Source organism: Homo sapiens, chromosome 2 (assembly GCF_000001405.40).
Source record: "Homo sapiens chromosome 2, GRCh38.p14 Primary Assembly".
NCBI classification, from domain to species: domain Eukaryota; kingdom Metazoa; phylum Chordata; class Mammalia; order Primates; family Hominidae; genus Homo; species Homo sapiens.
This window is the reverse complement of record NC_000002.12, coordinates 208,642,800-208,658,224: the sequence shown is the minus strand read 5'-3', so window position 1 is coordinate 208,658,224 and position 15,425 is coordinate 208,642,800. Positions and strand designations below refer to the sequence as shown.

Sequence of the window (15,425 nt, the reverse complement as noted above, 5' to 3'; positions counted from 1 at the left end):
AATTTCAAACATAATTCTTGTGTTTATTTTGGATTTAAAGAGTCATAGTGTCTTTAAAATGCCATGGTCTCTATTTTAATAGTCTATTATAAAGAACTGATAAAATTCACCTTGGGTCACTCTGGTTTTGGCATCACCCTCAGCATCTCACTCAGCACTAGATATGACTGCTTCTGATTTATGACTATCAAATTGGTTTCCTTTCTAGTATTTGAAATTTGTATTTTTAAAATTACTTATTTAATGATAGCTGCTGCATTAATGGAACCCACTTCCTGCGTACCAATTCTCTCACACACTTACACACAACAAATATGTCTTCTCTGTTGCATCACTATTTGCCAAATTAGCAGATGAATCAACTTTAAAAATGAAAATGTTCCTTTTAGCCAAAAATGTAAGTTTCTTCCCCAAATGGAAAATACAATGTAGTTTTCCCTGATGACTGAAGAGCTGATTGTGTAGGAAAAATATAAACAGTAATGTGCTGAACCCATGTCCATTGTCACGCCCTCACTTGAGACAGTGTAAAGCCTTATGTGGCATTGTGCCCTACACTGCCCTCTAAGGGGATCTCTGGCATACACTCCTAGAATCATTCCTGCTGCCTTGGTGTCCTTATCCTATTGTCTTATCCATTCTGTGTCTGCAAGGTCTGTGCCTTTTCCATTCCTTTGGGAGGTACTCACAAACAATGAATACATCTAATTCCATTTGGATTTCTTTTCTAATGTCTGCTGGCCCAGTGGTCCACAACTTGTTATTCAAAATGCATGACGTACAAAAATCTACTTAAAATGAGAAGCACTTGTGCATCTATTACCAAACCAACCTCAGATTTGTTTAGTTCCTTTCACACTGCATTTATCTTTTTAAATGAAGGATTTTTAAAATATATTTTGTACAAGAAACGAAAAGTAGAATTTCACATGAATTCCAATTGAAGGATTGAGTCCCAAAATCATTGGAGATCACCTCTAAAAAATACCAGGTATACCACTAAACTCTTGAATATAATTTATAGGAAGCCAAATATTACATTTTATTATAGTCAATGTCTACACTATTTGTAGAAGTGATCTAATAATAAGCATCTATGTCAAAGCCTGACAGTTTAAGAGAGATGCTTTGGGGGAATAAAAGTACTATCTTCCTTGGATCAATTGAAACTCTTTGCCACTCCAAATTTTTCTGAAAACAGAGCTTTTCAGTTTAAAAAAAAAAAAATGACTCACCTCATTCACTATAGGTCTGTTGAGACTGAATTTGTTATTTCCGTACTTGAAAGACTCAAATCAAGTGCCTCTGATATTTTCCTGCAATTAGGAGAGCTTCATGGCATCTTTGGAGATGGTTTACTTGCTGTTGGCATCCATTTAATTAAATCCTAATAGCATAGCTAGCAAAAGAAACAAAAATAACATGTGTTAGCTTTAAATATCTGGGGAAAGTGACAAAGACAAAGAAATGCTTTATTAATAAAAGATTAATTATTTTTAATTATAAATATGTATTTTCTAATTTGCCTTTATTTTCTATGAGAAAAGAGTAACGACAGACTGCTGTAATTACTTTCAAAGTAAAATAATAATTAGTATTTTGGCATGAACTTCATCTTTGAAGATTATCTTTTCAAATACTATATTACATCTCTTTAAATGCATTTTTTCTTCTGAAAGATTTAGTCACCCAGGTGGGGTATTATTGATATGGAATACTCAGAAGCCAGTGAATAAGCTGGTATCCTAGAAAAGTTTTCCTAACGAGCTTATAAGCACATGTAGCACGCAGGCATTTTAATCATAATAATTTTTTAACTTTTCTTAATCGTGAAATATATCCAGAAAGAGATACATAAATGGATAAATGGATGAATTGGTGGATAGATGAACTGACGGATGGAGGGATGGAGGGATGGAGGGATGCAAGAATGGAAGGACATAATGGATGGCTGGATCGATAGATTCACACAATAACAATCATTAACATAATTCCCTGCCATCCTTACCTAAGTTAAGAAACAGGACATCACCAATACTTAGAAGTCACCCCCAACTTCACATCTCTCCTAGGTCACATCCCATTTCCTATCCTACGCAAGTAACCACTATCCTAACTTCTACTAATTCCTTTGCTTTTCTTGATAGTTTTACCATCACTAAATTCATCACTAAACAACACAGTTTAATTCTTCCTGATTTTGAAATTTGTTTATAAATTCTGACTACACGTTTTCCTTTGTAACTTGCTACCTTTGACCAACATTTGTTCGTGAGATTAATCTATGTTAATGTGCAGCTGTAGTTTTATTTCCATTGCCATATAGTATTCTATTGTATGAATGTACCACAAATTATTTATCTGGTGTATAGTTGATAGATAAGTTGGTTGTTTTCAGCTTGGGACTATTATAAACACTTCAATATATTTTTCTTGGTGCACTTGTACAGAACTTTCTCTAGGATTAAAATTGGTTATAGATTATACACATTTTCAACTTTTCTGGAGAAAGCAAACTCTTTCACGTTGTGGTTGTACCAAGTTCATTCATACCAACACTGTGTGAGAGGTACCTTTGCCGCACATCCCCACCAACACACGGTATTATCAGAATTTACAATTTTTCTATAACTGGTACATGATTTTAATTTACATTTTTCTAATCATTAGTAAAATGAGCAACCTTCTCTTATGTTTATGAGCCATTTGGATTTTCTCTTTCTTGAAAGATTCACTCAAATCTTTGCTTATTCTTATGATAGGTTGCCTGTCTTTTTCTTATCATTTTGTATTGAGTGTATTCTGGATATTAGTTACCTTGCACATCTGCTCTTAGATTTGTTTTTTATTTAAACCATTATGTTTAATTGAAAATAATAACTGTATACATTTATGGAGCACAATGTGATGTTTTGATATTTGTATACATTGTAGAAAAATTATATCAAGTAATTAACATATTCATCACCTCTCATATTTACCATTTTTTTGTAGTGGGAATATTTCAAGTCTGTTCTTACAGCACTTTTGAAATATGCAATACCATAGGTACCATTTTTAATGTTATCTTTTTTAAAAATGTGTTTTTTAACTCTCTGTTGCTGGTACATAAAAATATACCATATGCAACAAATTTTTATAAGTGGATTTTGTACCCAGTTGCTTTGTAAAACTGTCTTATAGAATCCAATATTCTATTTTCACATTCTTTTGTATTTTGTTTTAGGTACAAAATCATGTTAAATATTTTGTATTTTGTTTTATGTACAAAAATCATGTTATCTGGAAATAATGATGGGCTTGTACCTTTCTAATTCTTACACTTTTTATTTCTTTTTTAAAAATCTTAATGTATGGCCAAGATTGCTCGCACGAGATTGAACAGAAGTGGAAAGTCGAGGTAGCTGACTTCCTTGTCTTGTCCTGATTTCAGAGAAAAAGCTTTCAATGTTTTACATTAACACACTGAATTTTGATTTTTTTAGATTCTTTTCATCATATTAATGAATTTCCTTCTATTTCTAGTTTGCTAAGAGTTTTCATCATAAATGAATATTAGTTTTGTCAAAAACTTTTTACATCTTGCAAAATGATCATGTGGTTTACTCCACTTATTGGTACCTATGGAAATTGCATGGTTTATACAATCTATAAATCTATACAACAATCTATACAATCTATACAAGCCTACTTTTTGTTTTTAGAATAAACTTTACTTCATGAAGTCATGTGATTTTTTTATTCAGTGCTGAATCCAGTTCTTTATTCTAGGGTTTTTGAATCTCTATTCTTGGATGATATTGAATTATAGCATTACTTTCTCATTCTTATTTTCAGGTTTTGGTATCAAGGTTTTGCAGGCTAATAAATATATTAGGGAGTATTTCCTCTTCTTCTATTCTCTGGAAGATATTGTGTAAGATTAAAATGGGTATTTCTTCAATGTTTGGAGAATTCTTGACCTCTATTTGGAGAGAAGTGAAACTATTCTAAGTGTGTGGGCTTTATCTAGCATCTAGCAGATTTCTGGCAAGCTCATGAATGTATTTAAAATGGCAGTTTAAAAAATATTTTTATTAAGCATGTTTTGATGTTATGTAACAGGAACCTTTCATAACCTTTAGTGTGCCAAATTGCTAATGACAAAAATCCCTAAAATTAGTTTAAAATATGTTTTGAATAATTTTGAGACCTCCAACTGGAACATCAATAGGTAGATGGAAGCTGTTAGATAACATGGACTATGCCCCCATTGACGTAGAAGTAATTCTTGTGGAGCAACTGGACGAAGCCACAGAGTAACCAGGTTTTTCTGGATTAATAGTACATGCAGAGAACAGACGATGGTTATTAACTGTCTTCATAGGTAAGGAATTAGCTAAGGGTCTAATGAAGAGTTTGGAGAAGAAATGAACTTAGAGTATAATTTTAAAAAGATGGGAGGAACTGGTCTCCATCTGCAGCTACAAAAAAAAGAAAAAAAAAGAAAAGAAATGATGACAGGTATTCAAAGGCAGCCATAGACTGTAACATGACATTTCATTACAAAAGAAATAATAGCATTCACATATACTTTTATAGTACTTACTATTATGTAGAAAGTTCCAAGTTATTCAGATATGTAAATTTCTTTATTGCTGACAATGCTATAAGATAGGGTTAATAAAGTAAATAAGATAAACTAGTTACGTAGCAGCACGGAGATTTGCAACTGTCATGTCCGTCTCTAGAAGCCACTTCATTCATTGATCTTTTACACTGACTCTAAATGTTATAGTAAACAAACCATTTTGATAATTATGTTTTTGAAGACTATAACAGACTTCCTTCACCAAAGGAACTTTTGATTTCATGAAATACACATTTCTTATTATGATAAAGAACATCCATCAACAGGATGCAAAATGAAGCCCACATATTTGGAACAAATTCTTCCCATCCTTAATGAGGGTCAAACATGAGCCCACACTGAACTAAGATGGCTACCCTAGGCATTCTCTCTTCATCATTGGAAAAGGTGAGGAGGCTCAAGCACTCAGAATTTCAACTATATCAACAGAATTCAATTCACAACCAAGACGCTTGTTATAAGCTCAACCCTTCCCAGGAAGCAAACACAACCATCCTTTGGTTCTACTTTCAAAGCATGTTTAAAATCTGACTATTTCTCACCACTTCTATGCCACCATAATGGTCTAAGCCACCATCACTTTGTCCCTGAATTATTGCAATTGCCTTCTAACTGCTCTCCCTGGTTCTGCTCGTGCCTTCCCATTCAGTCTATTATGAATATGACCAACAGAGTGATCCCTTTCAAATATAAGTCGAATCTTATTCACTCTCTGCTCAAAATTTTTCAAAGGCTCCATATTTCACTCGGAATAAACACCAAGGTCTTTACGGTAGACTGCAAAGCTGTCACTCCCTGTTCTCTCTCTGGCCCTTTCTCATACAACTCTCCACCTTGCTTTGCTCTGCTCCAGCCCCAATGTCCCTCTTGCTGTTCCTCCAACAAACTAGGCACTCCTGCTATAGGGCCATTGCAAGAACTGCTCTCCCCACTGGGCATGCATCTCCCTGCGATGCCCTCATGACTAGTTCTCTGACCTCTGAAATGTTTGCTCAGATGTCTCCTCAATGAAGCCCTCCTTGACCACCCCATTTAAATCTGCAATGGACTTCCTCATTCTGTCCCCCAGCACTCCCGAACACACTGTTTGCTGTGCACTTTCTTTTTTCTAATCATCTTAACATGCTATGTAATACACCCATAAATTCTGTTAGTTATTTATTGCTTGTCTCCTTCTACTAGAAAATAATATCCTCAAGCACAGTAATCCTCCTTGTGCCCCAGGTATGTAGATCAGTGCCCCACCCATGGTAGACACTCTAAATATTGGTTCACAATGGACTGACTGATTTATTGAATAAAGTAGCTACTACTGAATATTTTTGTATTTTCCTACTGAATATTTTTGTATTTTCATATATTCATAGTCCTTATGAAGGACTATGAGTTTTAATAATACAAGGACAATATTTTAAGTTCTCTTTTGAGTTTTAATAATACAAGGACAATATGTTAACTTCTGAGTTTTAAAAATACAAGGAAAATATTTTAACTTCTCTTTTGACCTTTGCTATTAAGGAATTTGTAATCACGGTGATTTAATTCTGATACAGATAAATAAGGCACACGTTTTCAGTGAAATTATTTAAGAAGGACTGCAAGGCAATGTTTGAAAAAATTTTAGACATTAGATATTAACTGTGGTAGAACTTGGGAAGGAAATATTCACAAAGAATAAAATATTAGTCATGGAGCTATCTCATATCCTTGACAGAATAGGTAGGTTAATTTGAGACCCATTAAAATGATACAAAGCTTTTCAAACACATTTTTGTAAGGAACAATTGTTTTCTATTAATGTGATTTTCATCTTGATGAGTGACCAGTTAGTCTGTTAAAATGACAGGAAATCTGAGAAACATCAACAAGCCTAATATATTTGATTTTTGCCCTATTCCATTTTAAAAGACAGCTCATAAAACCACTCTGCATATTCATATTGATGCCTGATTTTAAATTTTCCCTGTGATAAAATAAAAAAATAAAATATTTATATCATGAAGATGTTGTTTAACTTTAAATAGCTAAAACTCCTCATTTTGTGGAGAGGGAAACCAGAGAGTTTATGTGAGCTACCTAGAGTCATACAGCAAATTAACAGCAGAAGTCCCACCCAAGTGTATTAAAATCTATTTTAAAATATTCTCTTCCACCACATCCTTGGTACAATAATACTAATGTTTTATATGATTAAATTTTTGTGCTTTATTTAGATGCTAAGTTAACTTTAACCTAAGTTCTGTATTTTTATTTCCCTTCTTTAAAAAGGAGGCTTCTATTTTTGAGAAGCTTGCTTTATGTAATTATTTAACTTATTAAATTTAACATATGAGAGAATCACAGATAAAAACAAGTTAATTAATTGGCATACATTTTCCCTAGGCCTCAAAAATATTTTAACATTCTCACTGACGCCTGTATCATGGAGATGACTCTTCTAAGAACATAAATGCCAATAATTCAAAGAAGTAGAGTGTTGTATAACAATTTGACTTCCACTGAAATTCTTGCTTTCTCACATTTTTATTTCTCTTGGACCTAACTAACTTTATTAAGGATAAAGCCTGTTATAATTAGTTTGTTTGTTTATAGCAAAAAAAAAAAAAAATCCAAAATCTACAATTATTAATCTTGTTCCCTGGATTGAGATTAGATTTTATCTTAATTCTGTAAAATGATATGAAATCAGAGAGTTGATTTTTGTTACATTTTGATACTTTGGTAAAAATAGCTCAGTAAGTATGAAACAGAATGAAAACTCATATACTTATCTTTTAAAAATTGCTCTCAGCTGGGCACAGTAGCTCAAGCCTATAATCCCAGCACTTTGAGAGGCCGAGGCAGGCAGATCACTTGAGGTCAGGAGTTTGGGACCAGCCCGGCCAACATGGTGAAACCCCGTCAGTACTAAAAAAAAAAATACAAAAATTAGCTGGGCTTGGTGGCAGGTTCCTGTAATCCCAGCTACCTGGGAGGCTGAGAAAGGAGAATCGCTTGAACCAAGGAGGGCAGTGAGTTGAGATGGAGCCCCTGCACTCCAGCCTGGGTGACAGAGCGAGTCTCAAAAAAAAAAAAATTGTTCTCCCCTTACCCTACTCTGTCTTAATGTCAGAACTTCTTTTTTAAATTTTTATTGATACATAATATGTGTACATATTTATGGGATACATGTGATATTTTGTTACATGCATAGAATATGCAGTGATCAACTCAGGGTATTTAAGGATATTCACCACCCATCACATAGGACATTTATCATTTCTACCTTTTGGGACCATTCCAAGTCCTCTCTTCTAGCTATTTTGAAATACATAATACACAATGTTGTTAGCTATAATCACCCTACTCTGCTATCAAACGTTAAACTTTTTCCATTTTATCTAACTGTATGTTCACGCCCATCAGCTAGACTCTCTTCATTCTTCCCTCTCCACACACACACCCTTCCCAGCCTCAAAACTATCATTCTATTCTCTACCTCCATGAGATAGACTTTTTTTTTTTTTTTTTTTTTTTTAGTTTCCACATATGAGTGAGAACATGTGATATTTGTCATTCCATGTCTGGCTTATATCACTTAACATAACCACCTGCAGTTCCATTCATGTTGCTGCAAATGTGATGCCAGGACTTTTTTTGGTGAATGTATTTTCATCACAGCTGCAATTTGTGTTTTCAAAGATTAGAGATCCATATTATCCAGTGCCCTCATTCTGACATGTATTTTTCAATGCCTTGCAAATAGAAACTTTATTTTTTATTTATTTATTTTTAAGCAAAGTTTAAAAATAAATGCTTTGTTGCCCAGGCTGGAGCGCAGTGACAGGATCGCAGCTCACTGCAGCCTTGAACTCCTGGGCTCATGGTATCCTCCTGCCTCAGCCTCCCTAGTAGCTGGGACTACAGGCACAGATACTACCCAGTTAAATTCTTTAAATTTTTATAGAGATGGGGTTTCACTTTGTTGCCCAGGCTGGTCTTGAACTCCTGGGCTCAAGTGATCCACCTGCCTTCGAAACTTGATTTTTATTTTCATTATCTTTGTCAGTAGATTGATGTGAAGAGCAGATGTTTTATATATTTTTGGATACTATACACTTTATAATGTCTATATAAATAAACTCCAACATGTCTATGTAAATAAACTCCAACATGAGTTAGACAGAAGGAAAAAGTTTAATGTTTGATAGCAGAGTAGGGTGAGTATAGCTAACAACAATGTATTGTGTGTTCCAAAATAGACAGAAGAGGCAAATTGGAATGGTCCCAACAGATACAAATGACAAATGTCCTAGGTGATGGGTGATGGGTATCCTTTAAGTGTTTTTCTGCTAGATGCATGAATGCCACAAACAATACTATCAAAAAAGTAGTACTCTATGTATATGTGCAGGTGGTTCATATAGTCTATACTGAAGAGTTTTATCCATTGGTGATAATAGAAATATTATTTTTGTATCATCAAATTAATATTCATGCTAATGATAACACTACATTTATATATGATTAACAACCTAAGCACTTTTCTGTAATCATTGTCTGAGAATTGCTACCTCCTCTTAATAAAATGATCCCACTCACAGAATTATATAGCACAGATTTTGATTTAGTATAAGCTTTAAATGGGATTTGTTGTCCATTTTTGGTGCTTATGGCTAAGCAAAATTCTAAAATCTTGTTGTATGCCATAGCAGTGTTAATACAGAAGTTGAAATTCTGTAATATACCTCTAATTGACACCTCTTTGAATCTGGGTTGGCTTGCAACTGCTTCAGCCAACCTAAAATGGCAAATAATAATAATAATGCTTTGTGACTTTTGCAGATAGATGATAAAAGGCCGCAAAGCCTCCACTTTGTTCTCTGGAACACTTGCTCTTGGACTGCCATGTAAGCCTTGAAACGACAATGCTGAAGATGTCACATGTAGGTCTTTGGTTTGACTGTCCCAGCTGAGCCCAGTCTTTCATCTGTCCTGCCAAGTTTCCACACCCTCCAAGCCAGTACATTTGCCAGTTGAATATTAACATGTGACAACTGTTGATGCCATGTGGAACAGAATAATCACCCAAGCAAGACTGCCCAAATTCCTACCCACAAAACAGTGAGCTATAGTAAAACAGATGTTGTTTAAAGCTACCGTGTTTGAGATGGTTTGTTATCAAGCTAGCGATTAAGTAGAGAAAGAGTACTAGAATGGAATTTGACACCTGGAAGTGGGACACTGCCATAACACAAAATTAAAACAACATGGCATTGACTATGTGACCACCAGCCGTCAGAAGTTAGAAAGCTCTTGAGAAGACTGATAGTAAGAGCTTAAAGGCAGTGAGGAATTTGTCTGAAAAAAAAAAGGCTGAAAAAAAAAAGATGACCCATGTTACATAATGACAAAAGGCTTAGAAAAACTATAACCTGCAGAGTGTGGACAATATAAAATATATCTGATGAACTTATGGATCTAGTTGAGGAATTTCCCAGGCAGAATGTCAAACATGCCAAATGGTGTAGCTTCTAACTGGTGGGTGTCCCCTGTTTTCTTCTTGAGTGCAGCTCCTAGAAAATAACAACATATGACAACTATGTATAAGAAGTTACTTAAAAAAAGAAAAGAAGAAGAAAAACTATTTAGTTTGCTTTCAATCGGAATTTATAGGAAATAGATAGAAACCAGGATGTTTTGGGTTCTAAAATAACGAAACTGTTTTTCATCCACAGTCTCTCCAGGAAATAAAATGTTCAAAATAAAGAGTGGCCTCAGGTCAAAAAGGCCACTAACACCATAAGAGTGTGGCAAATTGTGTTCTAACAACTGATAAACATCAGGAACTATTTTATGACTTGAACTTATTTGATAAGCATTGAAGCTATTTCAGAGAAAAATAAATAATAAATTTTCTAACAATAATGTTTTATCTTGAAACATTCTCAAGGCATCCTGGGGAAAAGAAATTTAATCTTGTGTTTTTGATGATCAAAGACAAAGAAAGAAAGAAAATGGTGGTGTAAAATCTTTGTTTGAGTTTACTGTATCTTTGAGAGAAGAAGGATTACACCAAATAAATGTTGAAATAAAATGGAATATAAGTATTCAAATTACATATAATCAAGAGTAGCTAAAATGTGCTCCCTAGCTTAGATGAAGGAGCAAGGCTGATAAGTTAGAATAAGATAAAACAACAGATAACAGTTACATTCTGTTCTGTCCTTTTCTGAAGACTGTTTTACTTAACCTAAGTCAAACAGTTCAAATGCCTTCAGGGATTAGAAAGGCAATAGAAATCGTGAAATCAATAGGTGAAATGTGTGAAATTAATAGGGAGAAATATTACTTGTGGCTAACTGAAGAATGCATATCCCAATTTAAAATTCTAATTGAAAATTCTTAACTATGTAAGTCATTTTTATCTAAATATGAGAGTTGCTAATTGGTCATCTGTGTGTTAAAGAATTCACCATAATCAAGAAAGATGCCTCAGTCACACAGGCAAGCTTGTGAAGGAGAAAGTGGATATAGAATCCTTATGATTGTTTGTTTAAATCATTAAGCAAAGGAGTTTCTCTTGGACCAAATATGAGCATAGACTTCAAATTTAGAGAGAAACTTGTTATTTTCTAGGAGCTGTACTCAAGAAAAAAACAGGGGACACCCACCAGTCAGAAGCTACACCACTATTTTATTTTAGTTCTTATTAGGACTTGCTAGGCCTGCAATTTATGTCTGAGAAAGAATGGAATCGAAAGCAGTGGATATTCTTTGGGTAACTCCTTTCTGCCCAGTTATTGCACTTCTCCACCCTGTCTTCCTCCAATCTTGCAGCTCTTGCTTTCTGCAAAGAAAGCTAATGTGGCTTTCTTTTTCTAAGTCTTATTTCCTTTCTGTGATATGCAGGAGAAGAGGGAAATTGTTACTTCATGCTGTGTTCTTACCTAACTTTCATTTTACTAACCAAAAAATTGGGTGAGTACCCCACAAGATTACAAAAAGACTCATTTCAGCAGAGAGATTCACTCTTGGGAGGCTCCAGATAAGAACTACTGGTCCTATGGATGTAGATATCCCCTCCATGGAGGTAAAGGCTAAGCCATAGACATGCCTGAGACATCCATAGAGGGTGTGGGATGAGCAATGGGAGTAGAGGGAGTTTATAAACAAATAAAGGAAGTTCCTGGTGATCTAATAATGACAAATTGATTTAAAAAGTAATATTTAAATGACAACTCAGCTGAAAAGAAACACTGAGAAGAAGCTATACAGTCTGATAATCATTAAAAGTTTCAATAGCATAGTAAGTCAAGAAATCAGTTGCAAATGGTTAAGAAAGCTCCATGTCACCTTAATATGAGCCTTCTTGCTGTCTGCTCATTGTACTCCTTCATAACTACAAAAACAAGTTAAATAATGTAGACTATGATTAGAGACTCCCCAGAAATGATAATTTTCAGCATTTCGGGTCCAGAAGGATAATTTGGCAAACGCTATTGATTGGTCTAACACATCTACAGGCCCTTACCCAGTCCTCAGAATAAATTCCCATTCCAAATGTAGGATGACAGCAGAGTTCCGCTCCTCAACCCAAACACAGAAGAACTCAAAGAGGAAATGTTTTTCCCCTTAAATAAATGGCACCTTTGATGTTTTCCAGCAACTTCTGTGGTTGGAACTATTTTTCAAATAGTTGGATGACAGCAGCTCTTTATGAAACTTAAGGTATGACAATCAGGTTTATTTTGGGAAAATCTATGGGCAATTTACTAACATGTTCAGAATAAAACCTGAACTTTTGGGTACTTGGGTTCTTAAATAGTTTATTTTTTGAACAAAGTGCTAATATTGCAAAGGCAAAGAAAAAAATGTCAAAAGGAGAACTATATTTTTTAGATCAGCTTCTGTTTCTAAAACGTCATTCAAGTAGTTTATTTAACAAGATGCAGGCTGTAGAAAGTTGGAGAGTATTTACTCTGAACATGCAATTATTTCTTCCCTATAACATTTGTACCCCTAGGGAGGTGCTTTCAGCCTTGCTGACTAAAAGAACTTTCCCTTAGCCAAGAAAACTAGAATTTTGATGAGTATTTTTTGAATGCTGCTAAATTGTTTACAGTGCTGGAGATGTAAATAGCTTACCTCTTACCTCTCGGAGACATGGCATTACTCTCTGACACAAACTAAGTAGTGGGCTTCATTTTCTATTTCATTTCATTTTCTAGTTTTGTTTCTATTTGGTCATGGAAAAAAATAAATTAGGTTCTTTTACTTTTCCTTTCATTATGAAAAACTTCATACATATATGAAAGTAGAGAGAAAAACATAATGAATAGCTTCAACAATATTCATCTCCTGGGCACTTCTGTTTCAGATATACCCCTATTCAGTATGCCATTGTGTGGATGCAGCATAGTTTATGGAATCAATTCACTGTTAATGGACTACTGGGCGGCTTCCTCTTTTGCTAGAAGGCAATAAATAGTGTTCCAATGAATACTTTTATACATATAATTTTTTTCATATGTCTTCTGTGGGTTAGATGCCTAGACTTAGGATTTCTTTGTCAAAAGTAAAAGTACTTGCCCTTTTGATAATGTGTAATAGATTATTTGCCAATATGACTGCAACTATTCTTCTCACTATATTTATATGTCCTTGCTTTGTAACTTTCCAACTCCTCCCATCAACAAATACAGTCCATTTCCCCACTTGTTGAATTAGCCCTGGCCTTGTGACTTGTTTTGGTTAATAGAATATGGCGAAAGTGATCATGTACAATTCTGATACCAGGCCAATTGGAGGTCATTGGGAGGTCATTGAATCATGGGTGCCAGTGTTTCTCATGCTATTTTTATGATGATGAGTAAATCTCATGAGATCTGATGGTTTTAAAAATGGGAGTTTCCCTGCACAAGCTCTCTCCTCTTGTCTGCCACCATGTGAGATGCTTTTACCTTCTGCCATGATTGTGAGGCCTCCCCAGCCACGTGGAACTGTAAGTCCATTAAAACCTCTTCTTCTCAGTCTTGGGTATGTCTTTGTCAGCAGCGTGAAAACAGACTAATACACCAAGTTACCCAGGAAAGACATAAACATGGAAATAATGTGTGCAAGGAAGTACAGTCTATCATACATGTGTCCTCTTTTGCTAAGAGGTAATGGCCACAGAGAGGCTGAGCCATGAGCAAATCCATAAATTGGAAATCTGTGTCATCTGCTCCAGAGAAGTCTGGCACATATACATTCCTATCTCTCTGTGCCCTCCTCCATCTTACCTCTTATCCTAGCAAGTGGGAGCCATCTGTTTATCCACCCACCACCTGAAGAGCAGGTGAACAAGCACTGCTCTGCTCATCTAGACATCTCCAGCCTTTAGTCCATTAGCCCAGTACCTGAGATACAATAGATGTCCAATAAATATTTGTTGAACTGAAATAAACTGAAAGGAAATTGTTAGCATCATTAAAACTACCCATCTTAATGAGAGTTATTAATATAGAAAGATATTAACACAACTTTCAGACCTTGCTAAAAAATGAGTAACAATTGAAATATACCTAAGACATTCTTATTAATGTGTCATTTACACAGTAATGCTAAACAAGGCCAGATAGCTTAATACAGTGTAAGGAAGATTCTAGTTATTTTATAATTGTTATTTCACACTGAAAATGCCCTGACATTGACATCATATAAGAGAGGGCAAGGAATATGCAGGGAGAAAAATAGATTATTCAGCAGGATTAATACTTAACTATCTTGGCTTTATGAACACAAGGATGTGGAGCATTTTCTAAACCACTTTTCCCAAACCCACTCTCCCAGTCTATTTACAAGTGGGGAAAGAAGGACCCAATAAGTTTCTCAGTCTATGAATTTATATATGTCTGTCCCATGTTCTTGTCATTAATTGCACCTAGGTGCTTTACTGTTTTGCAAAATGATATGCAAGGTTCTAATAACTCAGTCCTAATAGCCATGGCATATTGTAGTCCTATACACTTTAACCCAAAGTGATTAAGCTTTTGCATGGTGTAGAGAAATGGGGCACAGGTACCTGGCTTGAATGTCTTGCTCCTCCACTCAGCCATGTGATCTTGGGCTTATTACCTATCTTCTCAAACTCTAGCTTCCTCATCTAGAAAAATGGGAATTGTGAGATGCTGAATATGAAACTGTATGTGCTATCCAGCACAGCACCTAGTAAAAACTAGGTATTCAATAACTAGATAACTTGTCCTGTCCTCTCTGAAAATGATTACCCTATTAACCTGGGGATTCACCGTGAAACACATTTTACTGTGGCAAAGGTGTTGGAAAATTTAGCTCAGCAGGTTGTAGGGGGAAAATCACAGGCTTAGAAGATTGACCCTGGTTTGAAACTGGGCAGGCTGCTTCACTTTTTTGAGCCTCTGTTTCCACATTGGTAAAATAAGGATATTGAGAGAAATAAAATCATTTAGCACAGTGTCTGGCACATAGTAAGTGCCTAATAAATGTTAGGTTAATTTCTTTTCTTCATTTAAAATTATTGTTCTTGAAATTTATAGCTGACTATATTTGCTTGATAGGATACTTAAAAACTAAAAACTAACTGATTTAGTTGGTTTTTCCTGTGCTGTCATCACTGTCTGATAAAATTTTAAAAAGTAGCTTAAAGCAGAAATTCTTGGTTCCCTGAACCCTGATAATACTTCATACCATATTGATAGGATTTCATGCAATGCATTTCTACTTTGTATTCATTAGTAAATTATTTCACAGCTCAGGAAATACTCTCGTAATACAATAACCTCAAGATTTAATA

General features: G+C 34.8%; 1 long non-coding RNA gene across 1 annotated transcript in view; it reads right to left on the bottom strand.

The window, feature by feature from the left end:
• Nucleotides 1-15,425, bottom strand: part of LOC101927960 (uncharacterized) — a 282,946-nt gene that overhangs the window by 167,363 nt on the left and 100,158 nt on the right. Inside the window, exon 3 of the long non-coding RNA NR_136588.1 lies at nt 1,236-1,399. This is a non-coding gene — a long non-coding RNA (uncharacterized LOC101927960). The remainder of the gene's footprint in view (nt 1-1,235; nt 1,400-15,425) is intronic.